The sequence below is a fragment of the Homo sapiens genome, chromosome 15 (genome assembly GCF_000001405.40).
Source record: "Homo sapiens chromosome 15, GRCh38.p14 Primary Assembly".
Classification (NCBI taxonomy): domain Eukaryota; kingdom Metazoa; phylum Chordata; class Mammalia; order Primates; family Hominidae; genus Homo; species Homo sapiens.
Genome location: NC_000015.10, coordinates 56,100,797 through 56,121,572, shown reverse-complemented (window position 1 = coordinate 56,121,572; position 20,776 = coordinate 56,100,797). Strand labels below are relative to the sequence as shown.

General features: G+C 40.5%; 1 protein-coding gene across 9 annotated transcripts in view; it reads left to right on the top strand.

Annotated features, from left to right (window-relative positions):
- RFX7 (regulatory factor X7) overlaps positions 1 to 20,776 on the top strand; it is a 157,803-nt gene that overhangs the window by 123,510 nt on the left and 13,517 nt on the right. For all 9 annotated transcript variants that reach the window (NM_001370561.1, XM_047432948.1, NM_001368073.2 and 6 more), the window contains 3 exons: positions 17,903 to 18,019; positions 19,320 to 19,404; positions 20,007 to 20,214. In NM_001370561.1, the coding sequence (NP_001357490.1) occupies positions 17,903 to 18,019; positions 19,320 to 19,404; positions 20,007 to 20,214 (410 nt within the window). The remainder of the gene's footprint in view (positions 1 to 17,902; positions 18,020 to 19,319; positions 19,405 to 20,006; positions 20,215 to 20,776) is intronic.

The following is a 20,776-nucleotide window of genomic DNA, read 5'->3' as shown; positions in this document are numbered from 1 at the left end:
CTAGAGAGAGATATCAATATCCAAGTACAAGAAAGTTACAGAAAAGCAAGCAGATTCAACCCAAAGAAGACTACCTCAAGGCATTTATAATCAAATTCCTATCTGAGGACCTTGATAGACCCCTATCTCTTGCCCTATACAAAAAGGTAAAGGATAAAGAAAGATCCTAAAAGCAGCAAGATAAAACAAACAAATAACATACAATGGACCTCTAGTACATCTGGCAGCAGACTTTTCAGTGGGAACCTTGCAAGCCAGGAGAGAGTGACATGACATATCTGAAGTGCTGAAGGGAAAAATATTTTACCCTAGAATAGTATACCCAGTGAAAATATCTTTCAAACAGGAAGGAAATAAAAAGATTTTCACAGACAAAAGCTTAGGGATTTCATTAACATCAGACTTGGCATACAAGAAATACTAAACAGAGTTCTTCAGTCTGAAAGAAAAGGCTGTTGAGCAGTAAGACATCATCTGAAGGTACAAAACTCAGTGGTAATAGTGTATACACAGAAAAAAACACAGACTATTATAACACTGTAATTGTGGTGTGTAAACTACTCATAGTAGGAAGACTAATAGATGAACTAATCAAAAACAATAACTACACAACTTTTCAAGTCATAGTACAATAAAATATAAATAGAAACAACAACAAGTTTTTAAATGGGGAGACAATATTTGAGTATAAAGGTTTTATTAGTTCTCTTTTGGCTTGTTTGTTTATGCAATCCAATAATTTGTTATCAGTTTAATACATTGTAAGATATTATCTGCAAGCCTCATGGTAACCTCAAATCTAAAAACATACAACAGATACACAGAAAAATAAAAAGCAAGAAATGAAAAAGCACTTCATAAAATTCAACATCTCTTCATGATAAAAACCCTCAAAAAACTGGGCATAGAATGAACATACCTTAACATAATAAAAGACATATATGACAGACCCACAGCTAGTATCATACTGAAAGAGGAAAAACTGAAAGCCTTTCCTCTAAGATCTGGAACATGACATGGATGCCCACTTTTGCCACTTTTATTCAAATAGTACTAGAAGTGCTAGCTAGAGCAATCAGACAAGAAAAAGAAACAGGGCATCCAGACTGGGAATGAAGGGTCAAATTATCTGTCTTTATAGATGATATGATTTTATATTGGAAAAATCTAAAGACTCCACCAAAAAACTATTAGAATGGATAAATTCAGTAAAGTTGCAGGATACAATATCAACATACAAAAATCAGTAGCATTCCTATTTGCCAACTGTGAACAATCTGAAAAAGAAATCAAGAAAGTAATCCTATTTACAATAGCTACAAATAAAATTAAATACCTAAGAATGTACTTAAAGAAGTGAAAGATGTCTACAGTGAAAACTATAAAACAATGATGAAAGAAATTGAAGGGGACACAGAATGTAAAGGCGTTCCATGTTCATGGATTCAAAGAATCATTATTAAAATAATTATACTACCCAAAGCAATCTACAGATTGAATGAAGTGTCTATCAAAATACCAATGACATTCTGCACAGAAATATTATAGAAAAAACTATCCCAAATTTATATTAAAAGAGATAGCCAGAGTAGCCAGAGATATCCTAAGCAAAAAGAACAAAACTGGACTAATCACATTACCTTCAAATTATACTATAGAGCTGTAGTAACCAAAACAGCATGGTACTGGCATAAAAACAGACACATAGACCAAAAGAACAGAATAGAGAACCCAGAAACAAATTCATACATCTACAGTGAACTCGTTTTCTTTCTTTCTTTTTTTTTTTTTTTTTTGAGACACAGTGTCACTCTGTCACCCAGGCTGGAGTCCAATGGCGCGATCTCAGCTCATTGCAGCCTCCGCCTCCCAGGTTCACGCGATTCTCCTGCCTCAGCCCCCCAAGTAGCTGGAACTATAGGCACGCACCACCATGCCTAATTTTTTTTTGTATTTTTAGTAGAGACAGGGTTTCACCATGTTGGCCAGGCTGGTCTTGAACTCCTGACCCCATTTGACCCACCCACCTCGGCCTCCCAAAGTGCTGGGATTACAGGCGTGAGCCACCGCACCCAGCCAGTGAACTCATTTTCAACAAAGATGCCATAAGCATACACTGGGGAAATACATGGTTTCTTCAATAAATGATGCTGGGAAAACTGGATATCCTTATGTAGAAGAATGAATCTAGACCCCTATCTCTTGCCCTATACTAAAATGATATCAAAGTGGATTGAAGACTTAAATCTAAGACCTCAAACTATGAAACTACTATAAGAGAACACTAGGGAAACTCCAGGACATTGCACTGTGCAAAAATTTCTTGAGCAATACCCTACAAGCACAGGCAACCAAAGCAGAAGTGGACAGATGGGATCACATGCAGTTAAAAAGCTGCACAGCAAAGAAAGCAGTTAACAAAGTGAAGAGATAACCCACAGAATGGGAGAAATTATTTGCAAACTCTCCATCTGACAAGGGATTAATAACCAGAATATAGAAGGAGCTCAAACAACTCTATAGAAAAAAAATCTAATAATTTGATTTAAAATGGGCAAAAGACCTATATAGACATTTCTCAGAAGACATACAGATGGCAAAAAGGCATGTGAAAAGGTACTCAACATCATTGTTCATTAGAGAAATACAAATCAAAACAACAATATATAGTCTCACCCCAGTTCAAATGACTTTTATCAAAAAGACAGACAATAACAAATGATGACAAGGATGTGGAGGAAAGGAAACCTTCATACACTGTTGGTGGGAATATAAGTTAGTAAAGCTACTGTAGAGAATAGTTAGGAAGTTCTTCAATAAACTAAAAATAGAGCTACCATATGATCTAGCAATACCACTGCTAGGTATATATCCAAAAGAAAGGAAATCTGGATATCAAAGAGATATCTGCACTCCCATGTTTATCCCAGCACTATTCCCAATAACCAAGATTTGGAAGCAACCTAAGTGTCTATCAGCAGATGAATGGATAAAGAGAATGTAGCACATAGGCAAGATGGAGTACTATTCAGCCATAAAAATAGAATGAGATCGTATCATTTGCAATCACATGGATGGAACTGGAGGTCACTATGTTGAGTGAAATAAACCATTTACAGGAACACAAACATCATATGTTCTCACTTATTTGTGGGAGCTAAAAATTAAAATAATTGAACTCATGGAGATACAGTAGGATGATGGTTACCAGAGGCTTGGAAGGGTAGTGGGGGCACAGTAGTGAAGTGGGGTTGGTTGATGGATACAAAAACATAGTTAGAAGGAATGAATAAGATCTAGTATTTGACAGCACAACAGGGTGATGATAGTCAAGAATAATTAAATTGTACATTTTAAAATAACCAAAAGAGTATAAATGGATTGTTGGTAACACAAAGAATAAATGCTCGAGGTGATGGATACCCCATTTACCCTGATATGATTATTACACATTGTATGCCTATATCAGAGTATCCCATATACCCCATATATATATATACCTAATATATACTCACAAGAATTTTTAAAATATGTGTAGATAGATAGATAGATAGATAGGACTATCATATGATCCAGCAGTCCTACTGCTGAGCATTTAGCCAAAGGAAAGAAATCTGTATATCAAAGAGACACCTAACGCCCCCATGGTTTATTGCAACACTATTCATTATACCCAAGATAAAGAATCAACCTAGGTGTCCAACAGATGAGTGAATAAAGAAAATGTATATATACACAATGGAATACTGTTTAGCCATTAAAAATAAGATCCTGTCACTTGCAGCAACATGAATGGATCTGGAGGTCATTATGTTAAGTAAAATAAACTGGGAATAGAAAGTTAAATGCTGCATGCTCTCACTCATATGTGGAAGTTGATAAAAGTTCGTTTCACAGAAGTAAAAGGTAGAACAGAAGATACTAGGTGCTGGGAAAGGGGATGGGGATAGGAAGAGAGTGGTTAAAGGATACAAAATTAGAACTAGATAGGAGGAATAAATTGTATAGTACTGAAAAATGACTATGCTTAACAGTAGTGTATACTTTCAAGTAGTGCGGAGGATATTGAATGTTCCCAACACAAATAAATGACAGATGTTTAAGATGATAGATATGCTAATTACCCTGATCTGTTCACTGTACATAAGTCTACATGTTAGCTTTTTTGAAATTCTTAGTTTCAAAACCATATGCTGCTCTTCTCAGTTTTTGTTCATATTCTTTCCTCTACATGAAATAGACCTGCCTCACCCTCCACCCACCCTAACACCCATATGAGTAAATCTACTTGTTCTCTAAGGCCCAGTTTAAATCTCCTTTCTCCGTATAATATTAGACCCTTAGTTCTAGCTCAGGCATGGCATTTTATTTACAGCACTCTATGTAACTTTTATTGGAAAGTAACATACACACAGAAAATATATACAGATTATAAGTTTACAGCTTGACAAATCTTTACAAAAGGAATACCCTCGTATTACCAGCATCCAGATTCAGAAACTAAACATTACCATAATCCTGCCTCATAACCTCTTACACTCACTCTCTTTACCAGCACCTCTCTCATCAAGGGTAACCTCTGTCCTGGCTTCTAATGCCACAGGCTAGCTTTGCTTGTTTTTGAACATTACATGAATGATGTTATACAATATACTATATTTTTTATCTGGCTTTTTTACTCAATATTTGTACAGTTTGTACAACTGTACAATGTTTGTACAATTTGTACAACTGTACAATGTTTGTACAATTTATGCATTTTAGTTTATTCATTCACACTGCTATGTAGTATCCCACTTGTGAATATATACCATAATTTCTTAGCTCATTCTTCTGCATACGGACATTATCCTTTTTTCCATTGTAGTTTTAACTTGCATTTCCCTGATGACTAATGAAGTTGAGTGCCTTTCTTATATGTTCTTGGGCCAACTGGGTATCGTCTTCTGCGGAGAACCTATTTAAGTCTCTGTCCTTTTTTCTCACCTCTTCTATACATTCATGAATGGTAGGTAACTACATCTCACTCATTTTCTACTGACACAGATTCTATAAGAATGTCATACTGTTTACATTACAGCTGTATGTATTTATTAAGATTTTATGCAGAAAAGTAAAATTGAGGGCTGATCACTGTTCTTCAGAGGGAACCTTTTAAAAATGTTGTAGTGCAACCAGTCAACAAATATGTATTGAGTACTGACTGCATGAAATTCTACTTGAGTCATCAGTAAAGAACCACTTATTTAACTACAAACCATCTTACAAACCATTTTACAAACCATCTTTACCTCTCTCTTCCTTAGTTTTCTCATCTACGAAATGGTATGATTACATCAGATGACACTAGGGTCTCTTGGCTTTTTTTGTTTTCATGTATACAACCTTGTGAAAATTTGAATTTATCCTTTTACTAACATGAGTTCAGAAATGTTCCCAACTATTGAATAACTAAGTGTAGTATAATTGGATCTGGATGGAAATTCAAAGATGAGAGATGGTTACTCAGGAATTTACTGGGTCAAGGCCCCTTCTTTCAATGTTTGTTAATTCTTAATCTATAGGTAGTTACTGTCGATAATCATAAATCTGGACATTTTATATGCAGTTAAATTTTTTTTTTTTTTTTTGAGACGGAGTCTCGCTCTGTTGGCCCAGGCTGGAGTGCAGTGGCACGATCTCGGCTCACTGCAAGCTCTGCCTCCCAGGTTCACACCATTCTCCTGCCACAGCCTCCCACGTAGCTGAGACTACAGGCACCCACCACCACGCCCGGCTAATTGTTTTTTTATATTTTTAGTAGAGACAGGATTTCACCGTCTTAGCCAGGATGGTCTCAATCTCCTGATCTCATGATCTGCCCACCTCAGCCTCCCAAAGTGCTGGGATTACAGGCCTGAGCCACCGTGCCGGGCCTATATGCAGTTAATTTAAAACAACGGAGACCTCAGGCAATCCAAAAATGAAAGTATGTATACAAAGAGAGCTCATACTATATGTAGAGTATGATCAATATATTTATCACATATGTGTGTGTGTGTCTTTGCTTTAAAAATAACAATCCAAATTCACCAAAAGAATAGTCATTTTTTAAAAGCCTGAATACACTAAGCAGACAGCCCCAGTTTCCCCTTCCACCACACACGTGTCAACTATAAATCTTTCTGTCTGTATGGATTTCTGTACTGTGGATATTTCATATAAATGGAATCATACAATAAAAAAAGAATAGTTATTTTAGCTGGGCACAGAGGCTCACCCCTGTAATCCCAGCGGCTCACCCCTGTAATGCCAGCACTTTGGGAGGCCGAGGCAGGCAGATCACCTGAGGTCAGGAGTTCGAGACCAGCCTGGCCAACATGGCAAATCCCTGTCTCTAGTAAAAATACAAAAAATTAAGCTGGGCATGGTGGTGGGCGCTTATAATCCCAGCTACTCGGGAGGCTGAGGCAGGAGAATTGCTTGAACCCAGAGGTGGAGGTTGCAGTGAGCAGAAATCACGCCATTGCACTCAAGGCTGGGCAACAGAGCGAGACTCTGTCTCAAAAATAAAATAAAAATAAAAAAAGAATAGTCATTTTAAATGGCTTCTTCATAGGCCATGAGAACTCAAGCCTTTAAGATTTACTTTTTACTGTGATTAAGTAAAGACACAAATTTCTTTTTAAAATCTTGAGGATTTATCAGATGACTTCATAAACTATGGGATTTTTTTTATTAGCAATTTATAAACTTCAGGTTAAGGTTCTTAACCTGTGAATCATGATTCACCATGACTGAATCTTTTTTGTAGGATTATTAGCCAAAATGATGGAAAGGAAAGGCAAGTCCTGGTTAAGGAGGGTCATATATGATAGTTTTTTTATATATAAATAATTTAACTCTTCTTTAGTTTTGACTTCAAGCAAAGTAATCTTTCAGATATATTGTTCATTGTGTAGTTACCACAAAAAAAAGCATTATCAATGAGTTTCAAAGGTGATATATTAGTATGATCCTAGTCTAAGATCAGCTTACTAGTACTACTATCATTGTTCAACATACTATATCATTGTTCTGCCCAAAACACAGAACAATACGAAAACGATAAATTTCTTTTTTCTTTTTCTTTTCCTTTTCTGTTGTTTTTTTGTTGTTGTTGTTTGTTTTTTTTTTTTTTTTGGAGACAGAATCTCACTCTGTTGCCTAGGCTGGAGTGCAGTGGCGTGATCTCTGATCACTGCAACCTCCACCTCCCGGGTTAAAGCATTTCTCCTGCCTCAGCCTCCCAAGTAACTGGGATTACAGGCGCCCACCACCATGCCCAGTTAATTTTTTTTTTCTGTATTTTTAATAGAGACAGGGTTTCACCAGGTTGCCCAGGCTGGTCCTGAACTCCTGAGCTCAGGCAGTCGCCCACCTCGGCCTCCCAGAGCGCTAGGAATACAGGCATGAGCCACCACACTCAACTGGAAAAGACCAATTTCTTTATGGTTAGGGTCAGGCACTTTTGAAGAGTTTTCTCTCCAGAGTCTTAAGATCTATTTACTCCTTAAAAATAAGGGAGGATTACAACAACTTTTCCACTTTCTAAGGCTCAAGCTAATTAGATATTTGACCATATTACTTGTACTTCATTTGTCTTTCAGATTGTCTAGCAAATGTTTTGTTTGATTAATACTTTTAAGGCAATGTAATTCTACCATGTCTTTGGGACCTCCCAAAATTCCCATATCCTTTATTGTCATTTATAATATTTGAATACTAAGACTCACTAAAATAACATTATGGGTCTAGGTAAGTCTTAAGAGTCCTTTTAATGGAAAATTGATAATTCTTAATTATTTTTATAAATATTAGGAAAAAATTTAATGATGTAATTTTGGTTACAATACAAGCATTCAGTTTACTTTTTTTTTTTTTAATTTTATTTTACTCTACATTCCGGGATACATGTGCAGAATGTGCAGGTTTGTTACATAGGTAAACATGTGCCATGGTGGTTTGCTGCACCTACCAACCTGTCACCTAGGTATTAAGCCCCTCATGCATTAGCTATTTGTCCTAATGCTCTTTCCTCCCCTCACCGCCCCCGCAACAGGCCATGATGTGTGTTGGTCCCCTCCCTGTGTCCATGTGTTCTCATTGTTCAGCTCCCACTTACGAGTAAGAACATGCAGTGTTTGGTTTTCTGTTCCTGCATTAGTTTGCTGAGGATGATGGCTTCCAGCTTGATCCATGTCCCTGCAAAGGACATGATCTCATTCCTTTTAATGGCTGCATAGTATTCCATGGTGTATATGTACATTTTCTTTATCCAGTCTATCATTGATGGGCATTTTGGTTGGTTCTATGTTTTTGCTATTGTGAATAGTGCTGCAGTAAACATACATTTGCATGTGTCTTTATAATAGAATGATTTATATTCCTTTGGGTATATACCCAGTAATGGAATTGCTGAGTCAAATGGTATTTCTAGTTCTAGATCCTTGAGGAAGCTCCACACTGTCTTCCACAATGGTTGAACTAATTTACATTCCCACCAACAGTGTAAAAGTGTTCCTATTTCTCCACATCCTTGCCAACATGTGTTGTTTCTTGACTTTTTAATAATCGCCATTCTGACCGGCATGAGATGGTATCTCTTTGTGGTTTTGATTTGCATTTCTCTAATGATCAGTGAAGTTGAGATTTTTTTCATATTTTTGTTGGTTGCATAAATACCTTCTTTTGAGAAGTGTCTGTTTATGTCCTTTGCCCACTTTTTGATGGGGTTGTTTGTTTTTATCTGGTAAATTTAAGTCCCATGTAAATTCTGGATCTTAGACCTTTGTCCATAGGTAAATTGCAAAAATTTTCTCTCATTCTATAGGTTGGTTGTCTGTTCGCTCTGATGATAGTTTCTTTTGCTGTGCAGCTCTTTAGTTTAACTAGATCCCAGTTGTCAGTTTTAGCTTTTGTTGGAATTGCTTGTGGCGATTTCTTCATAAAATCTTCTCCCATGCCTATGTCCTGAATGGTATTGCCTAGATTTTCTTCTAGGATTTTTATGGTTTTGGGTTTTACATTTAAGTCTTTAATCCATCTTGAGTAAATTTGTGTATAAGGTGTAAGAAAGGGGTCCAGTTTCAGTTTTCTGCATATGGCTAGCGAGTTTTCCCAGTACGATTTCTTAAATAGGTTTGTAGTTCTTTTTTTTTTTTTTTTTTTTTTTGATTTGTACTCTGATATTTTTTATTCTGTTCCAAATAAATTCTGGTCAGGATGCACTAAATTTATTTTTACAATTTACTAATGAAGCATTACTTTAATTTTGAAAAATACCGTACTAGTGCATAGCCAGTCTATGTTACAGTTACCTGTTTGAAGAGAGCTCTACCATCTTAGGCAAGTTATTTAATTTCTGAGTCCTCAGTTTTCTCATCTGCCAAATGAAAAGGCTGAACCAGGTTAGTGATTCTTTTTTTTTTTTTTTTTCTGGGGCAAAGTGTCCCTCTATTGCCCAGCCTGGAGTGCAGTGGCGAAATCTCAGCTCACTGCAACCTCCGCCTCCTGGGTTCAAGTGATTCTCCTGCCTCAGCCTCCCGAGTAGCTGGGACTATAGGCACACACCACCACGCCCGGCTAGTTTTTGTATTTTTAGTAGAGACAGGGTTTCACAATATTGGCCAGGCTGGTCTCGACCTCCTGACCTCGTGATCCACCCGCCTCGGCCTCCCAAAGTGCTGGGACTACAGGGATGAGCCACTGCACCTGGCATTAGTGATTCTTAATCCTGGTTGCACATGAGAAATACCTGGAGAACTTTTAGATACACTTGTCTGGATCCAGGTTTTTGCCCTCAGAATTTCTGATTCTGATTCTGATTTAATGGTTTTAGGGTGGGGCCTATGCCCTGGTATTGTTTTTTTGGTTTTTTTTTTTTTTTTTTTGGTTTATTTATTTTTTTATTGATCATTCTTGGGTGTTTCTCGCAGAGGGGGATTTGGCAGGGTCACAGGACAATAGTGGAGGGAAGGTCAGCAGATAAACAAGTGAACAAAGGTCTCTGGTTTTCCTAGGCAGAGGACCCTGCGGCCTTCCTCAGTGTTTGTGTCCCTGGGTACTTGAGATTAGGGAGTGGTGATGACTCTTAACGAGCATGCTGCCTTCAAGCGTCTGTTTAACAAAGCACATCTTGCACCGCCCTTAATCCATTTAACCCTGAGTGGACACAGCACATGTTTCAGAGAGCACCGGGTTGGGGGTAAGGTCACAGATCAACAGGATCCCAAGGAAGAAGAATTTTTCTTAGTACAGAACAAAATGAAAAGTCTCCCATGTCTACCTCTTTCTACACAGACACGGCAACCATCCGATTTCTCAATCTTTTCCCCACCTTTCCCCCCTTTCTATTCCACAAAACCGCCATTGTCATCCTGGCCCGTTCTCAATGAGCTGTTGGGTAAACCTCCCAGACGGGGTGGTGGCCGGGCAGAGGGGCTCCTCACTTCCCAGTAGGGGCGGCCGGGCAGAGGCGCCCCTCACCTCCCGGACAGGGTGGCTGGCCGGGTGGGGGGCTGACCCCCCCACCTCCCTCCCAGACGGGGTGGCTGGCCGGGCGGGGGGCTGACCCCCCCCACCTCCCTCCCGGACGGGGCAGCTGGCCGGGCAGAGGGGCTCCTCACTTCCCAGTAGGGGCGGCAGGGCAGAGGCTCCCCTCACCTCCCGGACGGGGCAGCTGGCCGGGCAGAGGGGCTCCTCACTTCCCAGTAGGGGCGGCAGGGCAGAGGCGCCCCTCACCTCCCGGACAGGGTGGCTGGCCGGGTGGGGGGCTGACCCCCCCACCTCCCTCCCAGACGGGGTGGCTGGCCGGGCGGGGGGCTGACCCCCCCCACCTCCCTCCCGGACGGGGCGGCTGGCCGGGCAGAGGGGCTCCTCACTTCCCAGTAGGGGCGGCCGGGCAGAGGCGCCCCTCACCTCCCGGACAGGGTGGCTGGCCGGGTGGGGGGCTGACCCCCCCACCTCCCTCCCAGACGGGGTGGCTGGCCGGGCGGGGGGCTGACCCCCCCCACCTCCCTCCCGGACGGGGCAGCTGGCCGGGCAGAGGGGCTCCTCACTTCCCAGTAGGGGCGGCAGGGCAGAGGCTCCCCTCGCCTCCCGGATGGGGCGGCTGGCCGGGCGGGGGGCTGACCCCCCCTCCCCCGGACGGGGCGGCTGGCCGGGCGGGGGGCTGACCCCCCCCACCTCCCTCCCGGACGAGGCGGCTGGCCAGGCGGGGGGCTGACCCCCCCCCCACCTCCCTCCCGGACGGGGCGGCTGGCCAGGCGGGGGGCTGACCCCCCCCCACCTCCCTCCCGGACGGGGCGGCTGGCCGGGCAGAGGGGCTCCTCACTTCCCAGTAGGGGCGGCCAGGCAGAGGCTCCCCTCACCTCCTGGACGGGGCGGCTGGCCAGGCGGGGGGCTGACCCCCCCACCTCCCTCCCGGACTGGGCGGCTGGCCGGGCGGGGGGCTGACCCCCCCACCTCCCTCCCAGACGGGGCGGCTGGCTGGGCAGAGGGGCTCCTCATTTTCCAGTAGGGGCGGCCGGGCAGAGGCGCCCCTCGCCTCCCGGACGGGGCGGCTGGCCGGGCAGGGGGCTGATCCCCCCACCTCCCTCCCGGATGGGGCGGCTGGCCAGGCGAGGGTCTGACCCCCCCATCTCCCTCCCGGACGGGGTGGCTGCCGGGCGGAGACACTCCTCACTTCCCAGACGGGGTGGCTGCCGGGCGGAGGGGCTCCTCACTTCTCAGACAGGGCGGCTGCTGGGCGGAGGGGCTCCTCACTTCTCAGACAGGGCGGTTGCCAGGCAGAGGGTCTCCTCACTTCTCAGACGGGGCGGCCGGGCAGAGACGCTCCTCACATCCCGGACGGGGCGACAGGGCAGAGGCGCTCCCCGCATCTCAGACGATGGGCGGCCGGACAGAGACGCTCCTCACTTCCTAGATGGGATGGCGGCAGGGAAGAGGCGCTCCTCACTTCCTAGATGGGATGGCGGCTGGGCAGAGACGCTCCTCACTTTCCAGACTGGGCAGCCAGGCAGAGGGGCTCCTCACATCCCAGACGATGGGCGGCCAGGCAGAGACGCTCCTCACCTCCCAGACCGGGTGGCGGCCAGGCAGAGGCTGCAATCTCGGCACTTTGGGAGGCCAAGGCAGGCTGCTGGGAGGTGGATGTTGTAGCGAGCCGAGATCACGCCACTGCACTCCAGCCTGGGCACCAATGAGCACTGAGTGAAGGAGACTCCGTCTGCAATCCCGGCACCTCGGGAGGCCGAGGCTGGCGGATCACTCGCGGTTAGGAGCTGGAGACCAGCCTGGCCAACACAGCGAAACCCCGTCTCCACCCAAAAAATACGAAAACCAGTCAGGCGTGGCGGCGCGCGCCTGCAATCGCAGGCACTCGGCAGGCTGAGGCAGGAGAATCAGGCAGGGAGGTTGCAGTGAGCCGAGATGGCAGCAGTACAGTCCAGCTTCGGCTCGGCATCAGAGGGAGACCGTGGAAAGAGGGAGAGGGAGAGGCAGAGGGAGTGGGAGAGGGAGAGGGAGAGGGAGAAGGTTTGTAGTTCTTGAAGAGGTCCTTCACTTCCCTTGTTAGCTGTATTGCTAGGTATTTTATTCTCTGTAGCAGTTGTGATTGGGAGTTCATTCATGATTTGGCTCTCTGCTTGTCTATTGATGTATAGGAATGCTTGTGATTTTTGCATATAGATTTTGTATTCTGAGACTTTGCTGAAGTTGCTTATCAGTTTAAAGAGTTTTTGGGCTGAGACAATAGGGTTTTCTAAATATAGGATCATGTTGTCTACAGACAGAGACAGTTTGACTTTGTCTCTTCCTATTTAAATATCCTTTCTTTCTTTCTCTTGCCTGATTGCCCTGGCCAGAACTTCCAGTACTATGTTGAATAGGAGTGGTAAGAGTACATTCTTGTCTTGTGCCGGTTTTCAAAAGGAATGCTTCCAGCTTTTGCCCATTCAGTATGATATTGGCTGTGTTTGTCATAAATAACTCTTATTATTTTGAGATATGTTCCATCAATACCTAGTTTATTGAGAGTTTCTAACATAAAGGGATATTGCATTTTTTCGAAGGCCTTTTCTGCATTTATTGAGAGAATCATGTGGTTTTTGTCATTGGTTCTGTTTATGTGATGGATGACATTTATTGATTTACATATGTTGAACCAACCTTGCTTCCCAGGGATGAAGCTGACTTGATGGTGGTGGATAAGCTTTTTGATATGCTGCTGGATTCAGTTTGCCAGTATTTTATTGAGGATTTTTGCATTGATGTTCGTCAGGGATACTGGCCTGAAGTTTTTTGTTGTGTCTCTGCCAGGATTTGGTATCAGGATGATGCTGGCCTCATAAAATGAGTTAGGGAGGAGTCCTTCCTTTTCAATTATTTGGGATAGTTTCAGAAGGAATGGTACCAGCTCCTCTTTGTACCTCTGGTAGAATTTGGCTTTGAGTCCATCTGGTCCTGGGCTTTTTTTGGTTGGTAGGCTATTTATTACTGCCTCAATTTCAGAACGTGTTATTGGTCTATTCAAAAATTCAACTTCTTCCTGGTTTAGTCTTGGGAGGGTGTATGTGTCCAGGAATTTTTCCATTTCTTCTAGATTTTCTAGTTTATTTGCGTAGAGGTGTTTATAGTATTCTCTGATGGTAGTTGTATTTCTGTGGGATCAGTGGCGATATCCCCTGTATCATTTTTTATTGGTTTATTATCATTTTTTATTGTTTTATCTGTGGGATCAGTGGCGATATCGCCTGCATCATTTTTTATTGCTATTTGATTCTTCTTTATTCATTCAGTATGCTTATAGTTATCAATTAGCAATAAAAATACCTCATCTGTTAAATAAAGGGATTAGTGCACCTCTCTGTGCAAGTTCCTCATCTATAAAATATGTTTAATAAAACTACCTGTCTTAAGGTTGTTGAGAGGATTAAATGATTTAACACAAAGAAAGCACTCAAAAAATGTCAGGTATGGTTAGGTATCCCATGACTATATTTTACCACAAGTCTTTTGTGATTCATTGTTTATATTTTTGTACCATTAAACAATGTTTACCTTTAACTTGTACAATTAAATTTGTGACATGAATGAATATTAAAGACTGAATTGTTACCATGGATTTTGAGTGATGTGTTCATAGTCATATTGAATATTAGGCTTAATTTCAGGCTTAAAAATGTACTTTTAAACAAGGAGCAAGAGAAAAAAAAAAACAATTCTTTCTTCTTTTTTTTTTTTTTTTTTTTTTTTTTGAGACGGAGTCTTGCTCTACTGCCCAGGCTGGAGTGCAGTGGCGCGATCTCGGCCCACTGCAAGCTCCGCCTCCTGGGTTCACGCCATTCTCCTGCCTCAGCCTCCCGAGTAACTGGGACTACAGGCGCCTGCCACCACGCCCAGCTAATTTTTTGTATTTTTAGTAGAGGCAGGGTTTCACCGTGTTAGCCAGGATGGTCTCGATCTCCTGACCTTGTGATCTGCCTGCCTCGGCCTCCCAAAGTGATGGGATTACGGGTGTGAAATTATTTCATTTTTAAAATGACATTAGAGTGTTAGTGATCGCGTAAACAGAACATTCTCCGTTCCTCACCCTTTTTTGAGTCTTGCAAAGTATAATCTGACACTGAGTTAAGAGTCAATTGACACTGTATCTTGCTTGGTCAACCTGCAGTTAACGTTGTGAAGCAGGAAAATGAGATGTAAACTAACCAAGATCTCCACATGGCCTGGAATGACCAATGGTTTGTTATATAGGACAAAATTGAATAAATATTATGTAAGTACTTACTAAATTAGATTTTTAAAAGAATCATTGAATATCTAGATTTTTCTTAATGGGGAAAGGTGTCCTATTGAAATTCTTTTTCTTTAAAAATTACAACCACTAGAAATTGGATAAGGCCACCTCACAATAAAGAGTCCTCCCCATCAAAGAAGGGTTCGTGTTGAGGTAACCCATCATTTAAGAGTATGACCATTTCTACATCTGGCAGGAAGTTGAACTATACAACTTCTGATTTATTTTTTCAATTCTAACATTTCACAAAATTAAAGAAATTGAGAACCTATTCTAGGTATTGTTCTTGTTGTTTTTACATTGATGCCCTCTTTATTTTCTGTTTGAAATGAGTTATCAAAGCATAAAGTTTTGAATCATAGGCAGTTTTCTTCTGACATGATTCAGGAGGAATAATTTGAGCTATTTATGTCTACAAAGTACTTTTAATATTTATCCACCAGAGTATTCGACAATGAGGTTGTTATATCCTTCCAAGAGGTAGAATAAGTATCAAAAACCAGATGGAATTGGATGATTTTGTGAAATAACCACACAATATAAATTGTATTGAAAAACAAATTTGGCATTGGTCATCTGTATACCAAGAAAGACAAGAAACTTTTTATCTGAGGAACGTGAGCTCTTTTAAATTACTGGGCCCAGTGAGGCATTAAAATGTGAAAGTAGTCATCTCTCACTCCCCTCTTTGAGCTAAGTAATCTGCCTGCTGTATGGACTTTAGACTGTCACCACCAAGTAACCATAAACTAACCTAACAATGCCATATGCTAGACACCATAATTCATACCCTATAGTTCAACAATGTATAGCAATTACTAATCAGTTATTTCTCTACACCAATGAGAATTCTTAACAAACAATTTTTGTAATTGCCCCCTCTCCTAATTTGTCCTTTTTTCTTTAAAAACATGAGCCTTTCCTTCATTCTCTGGAGCACTTCTCAGCATTTCCCAGTCTGCAGTCCTCAACCTTGACCCAAATAAACTAAACTACTATATTAATTTTGCTCACTTTATGTCTTTAGGTCGATGATACTTAACATTACTTCTTTTGCCAACCTTTCTCCTACCCCTTCTGCCAAAGTAAAAAATTTTGGTTTACTAATGAAAAAAAAAATCAAAATCTGAAACACAGATGGAGAATAGAATGGATATATTATCTCTCAAATGTCTCATTACACTGCCTCTGTTTATTTGATTTCAGTTTTTTAGACCCATTTCTGCCAGTGCTGTCCTAGGATCCGGAGGGGGGCAATGTTTCTTCTTTGCTTTTTTAAGTCTTTTAATGTGTTTCTTTAATGTTTATTATAGTTTTAAATACAGATGGTCTTACTATGACCCTTAAATCTTGTTCCTAGTGCTGAGAATACACTGGCGAATCCAATAGGTATGGTCACTGCCCTGCTTGAACTTAGTGTGATGAAGAAGACAAATAAATTAACTATTGTGTAATTGTAACTCATGCAAAGAAAAGAAACAGATTACACTGATAGGGAACATGATGAGGGTGTGACATGAGGACGTTGCTTTAGTCGGAAGAGATCCTTTCAAAAATCATAAAATTTAAGCAGAGACTTGAAAGATAAGAAAAGTAATGTTCCAGGTAGAGGAATCAACATGGGTCAAGTCCCTGGGGTGCAAAAGAGCCTCATTCTCATTTTCTTTTTGTGCCGGTTTGAACCATAAAGAACTCATTTAACTTGCTTCTGAAATTGTTATGATTTGATGCAGCTCATTTCCATTGTCAGCACCCAAAATAGTTACCTCTTCACTTTGCTCCTTCAACCTTGCAAGACCCCCTGAGCCCTCAAAGTATCAAATTTAGTCTCAATTTAAATATGAAGCTGCTAATACTACCTATATGGGAAACTTTCAGTACGCATTAGTTCCCTTTCTGCTCGTAGCATTGTTGGTGATGTGTTTGCTGGGCTACTCCTTCCCATCTTTTAACCCCAGGGGTATGCAGGATTTGCTGTGGGAATAGGGAAGCCACAAACAAGAGAAATAGCATTGTCTCCAGAGCTACCCTTATTCTTTCTGTATTAAGGCTCCCAGGGGTCTCTGCCTCCTCTTGAGTCTCTCCCAACTTAACTTCTTGAGCTAAGGTCACTTTAGGGATGTTATCAGGACATTCAGCAATCTACAAAAAGACCCAAGTCCTGGTTTCCATTACACCCTGCCCACCATGTGTTCCAGTTGTTTTCATTTCTTTTCTGCATGACTTCATCAAGAAGCTGTCCTGGTTGATGCTAAATGAGAGGTGAGGCGGAGACAAGGGAATTCCTCTGGCTTCCTCTTCATTCATATTTCCCAGGTAGTGGTTCTCCCAAAGGCCTTGGTGGCCAGAATAAGGTGTGGCCTTGGTCTGCTGCTGAACTGGTAGAGGATTGACATTTTACCTATGACTGGCAGCTCTAGAGAAAAACAGAACACCTGATTCCAGTAGTAGTTAAGACTTGGTGTGTCTCCAGATCCCACTTGAAGTTACTGTCTTACAAAGTAACTTTTTTCCTAGCAATACTAGGGATGGTGGGGGTAGAAGGAGGATAACACTAGGACCTTTGGAACCTCTCCCCTTGCCTGTTTTTTCTCTTATCAGTAAAATGAGAGTGTTGGTGTATTCGTAGGGTCCCTTTTAGTTCAAACATATCATGTTTCTAAATTTTAAACCACCTAGTAGTATTATCTCTGTCTGATGTGCATGATATGTATATTGGAAATTATCCCAGTATGTGAGCCTGATACATATGTGGAAACTTACAGCCCTACTGGCTGAGCTGGATATATTCATTTATGAGCACTGGTTGGGATTGTAATTCGAAAACTTTGTACCAACATTGTATCTTACTGCAAGATTTATGAATGTTATTGAAAGCAGGACTATATACCCTGAGGTTGAAGCCAGCTAACTAAACCTGAGTTAACATGCATCACCAAAGAGTGATGATCATAGACATTGTGGCAAATGACTTGAAAGATCCTTTGCTTCACTTTGTCAGAAGGATCAAATTGTATTGAAATAGCACCCTGCGATATAATTCTGAATTCTGTCACTCTAAATTGGTCCTTCCTTCTTTTGCAGGAGCTATTGTGACAATCTTGGTTACCATCCATTAAGTGCTGCTGATTTTGGAAAGATCATGAAAAACGTCTTTCCAAACATGAAGGCACGTCGTTTGGGCACAAGAGGCAAATCTAAATATCCTTTACCAGAATGGTGTTAGTAATATCTCTGTGTTCTCACTTGTTATAGAACATCTATTGTTGTAGTTCAACTGGCAACTTTATTTAGAAATAAACTTCAAATTAAAGCAACTCAAAAGCTTAAGTAGAATAATTGCAAATGTAACTTTCACAGGTATTTATCACACTATGAAAGAAATAGCAAATAATGGTTTATTCATAGATTAGAATTGTGATAGATTTTACCTTAGTCTATCAATGTAAAGTGTTATTAATGGTCTGATCTCCTTTGTTTTAACAGTAAGAAGTTTTGAGGCCTGCCATATGTTTAACAATTATAAGAATAAAAGTGGAGAAAGATGCTAGCTTATCTTCGTTTCTTCCTTTAATTTAGAAACATAGGGGATCTCCTTGGCAAAAAAAAAAAAAAAAAAAAAAAATCTTATGGAACTTTAACAGAAACACTAATCTTTCAGTACAAGTATTTTTCAGCCATCCATTTAAAGCCCATATTAAAATTAAAGCCAGAGTACAGAAAAGGTCCTTCTTGTGATGGAGAAATACTTAGGAGCAAACAGAAATAAGGAAATTAAAATTAAGAATTCATTATAGTTCTTTCTCCTCTTAGAAGAAGATTGTAAAATAGAGGGTCTCTGTATCATATTAGAATTACATCCATTTTCTCCCCCTTAGCTCTTGTCTTTTTTTCAGAGCATAAAATGGAGGAGATGAGAGGAAGGGGAAGGGAAGAAACTTGCTTTTCTAAAATGGTTCCAGGTGTTCTCTAACCACTAGTTGGCACGACCTATTCTTGCTTCCCAAATGCAAACAAAAATGTTTTGATGTGTCTTTGGCATGTTACAGGCGATAATCCTGTATGTTTCAGTGGAAAAAGAGAAACGAAAAGGTTAAAGCCCTTGTGACACTCTTAAGAGTTGTTTTTGTCCCAGAGCCCTGGGCTGAAGTTTCCCTTCCCTGTGCCAGGTTTCCATCTGGCTATTCCTTTCCTTCTGACCTGTTTGTTACTGGTGGCTGGCACAGCATATTAGGAACATTTATTCATAAAATTTATAACAGATGAGAATCTTTTCATTTAAGACAGTAGTATTTAACATTCTAAAGGGGTATTTCAGTTTCAAAAGAGTAAAAGTGTCCCAAGTTTTTAATATTAAGGTTTTTCTTACTGAAGAATTCAGAAAGTAGATGTTATGTCATGTTGATTTTTTTTTCTCATTTCATATATGGTTACTTTTAAAGTGCTGTCTGTATAAGCAATTCATTTAATTTTGAATATTTAGACCTTAACTGTTTATTACATATTGCTACAGTGGACTAAGAAAAAAAGCTTTTGTTCATATGCCAACACTGCCCAACCTTGACTTTCACAAAACTGGAGATGGGGTAAGAATTCAGCCTTTTCTTTTTAATAAGTAAAATTGTACCTTTATATTAACATTGAAATGCATCCTGCAAAGTCTCATTTGGTTAAGCCTAGCGACTGTGCCTTTTACAAATAAGAAAAAAAAAATCACACAGTGGCTGAAAAATGTTAGTGTATATGACCTACGTCAACATGAAATTTGGGGGAACAAAAGTTTAGAAGTTACTGATTTCTCGATATTTCCAAAATACATATTGACTATATGTGTGTATAGTCAAGAGGAAAAAGTCAGTCATCATGTAATATGTTTTATAGGAATTTTAGAAAAAATGTGTGGCTATTGGCATAGTTTTGACATTAGAAAGATTCAAAACATCAGTCTTCTTGTATGTTTAAAAACCATTTAAAATGTTATATTCGCAAGGCTGCTGACTGCTGTGCACTAGTGGGTATGAGTCCCTTATTTGCAAAGCTCTTATATGTCTGCCAGTGGGTCAATTCATACTACTTTAACCCACAGATTTATATTGTATCTTCTAATTAAGAATACATATCTTTAACATGCTTCAATTTAATTTCTCTGGTCTTTTACAAGTTAACATTTCCTTTTTTCTTTGCCTAGTTGGAAGGAGCTGAACCTTCTGGGCAGCTTCAAAATATTGATGAAGAAGTTATCTCTTCTGCTTGCCGTCTTGTGTGTGAGTGGGCCCAGAAAGTGTTAAGCCAACCATTTGACACCGTCTTGGAATTAGCCCGCTTCCTTGTAAAAAGTCACTATATAGGCACCAAGTCAATGGCAGCTCTAACTGTAATGGCAGCAGCACCAGCAGGTACAACATTACTGTGAACAAGCTAAAAACTGACAGAGGTATTATTGTATTTAGAATTGGTAGCAAAAGAAGAGTTAGATCAAAGAACTTCATCCTTTTAGTACTTGCATGTGTTCACTCTTACTCCGCTTAACACTAAATTCAGATGGGTCTGTTGAGCCAAGAAAATAATAATCCTTTCATTATAAAGCTTAATGCTATGTTTCTATATATTGCTTTGCTGGCATATGAAACTGTAGATTCCCCAGCTGATATGTTATTAATTTTTCCATTGCTACTTTTACATTTATAGAATGTGTTTATATGTACTTTTATATGTACATATATGTATATGTGTATCTAAATTAATAAGAGAAGTAAAATAATAAGATTAAATTTTAAAATTACTTGTTAGATTCCCATTCCAGAAACTAATGCTTATAAATAAAATTATCTTTGCACACTGTGACAGGTAACTTAGCCTCAAAAAAACAAAACCGTACAAAGCCTTACTAAAAAATAACAAGAGTGATATTTTTTACTGTGTATTCATGACTATTTTTATTCAAAGATGAGTTTTTGG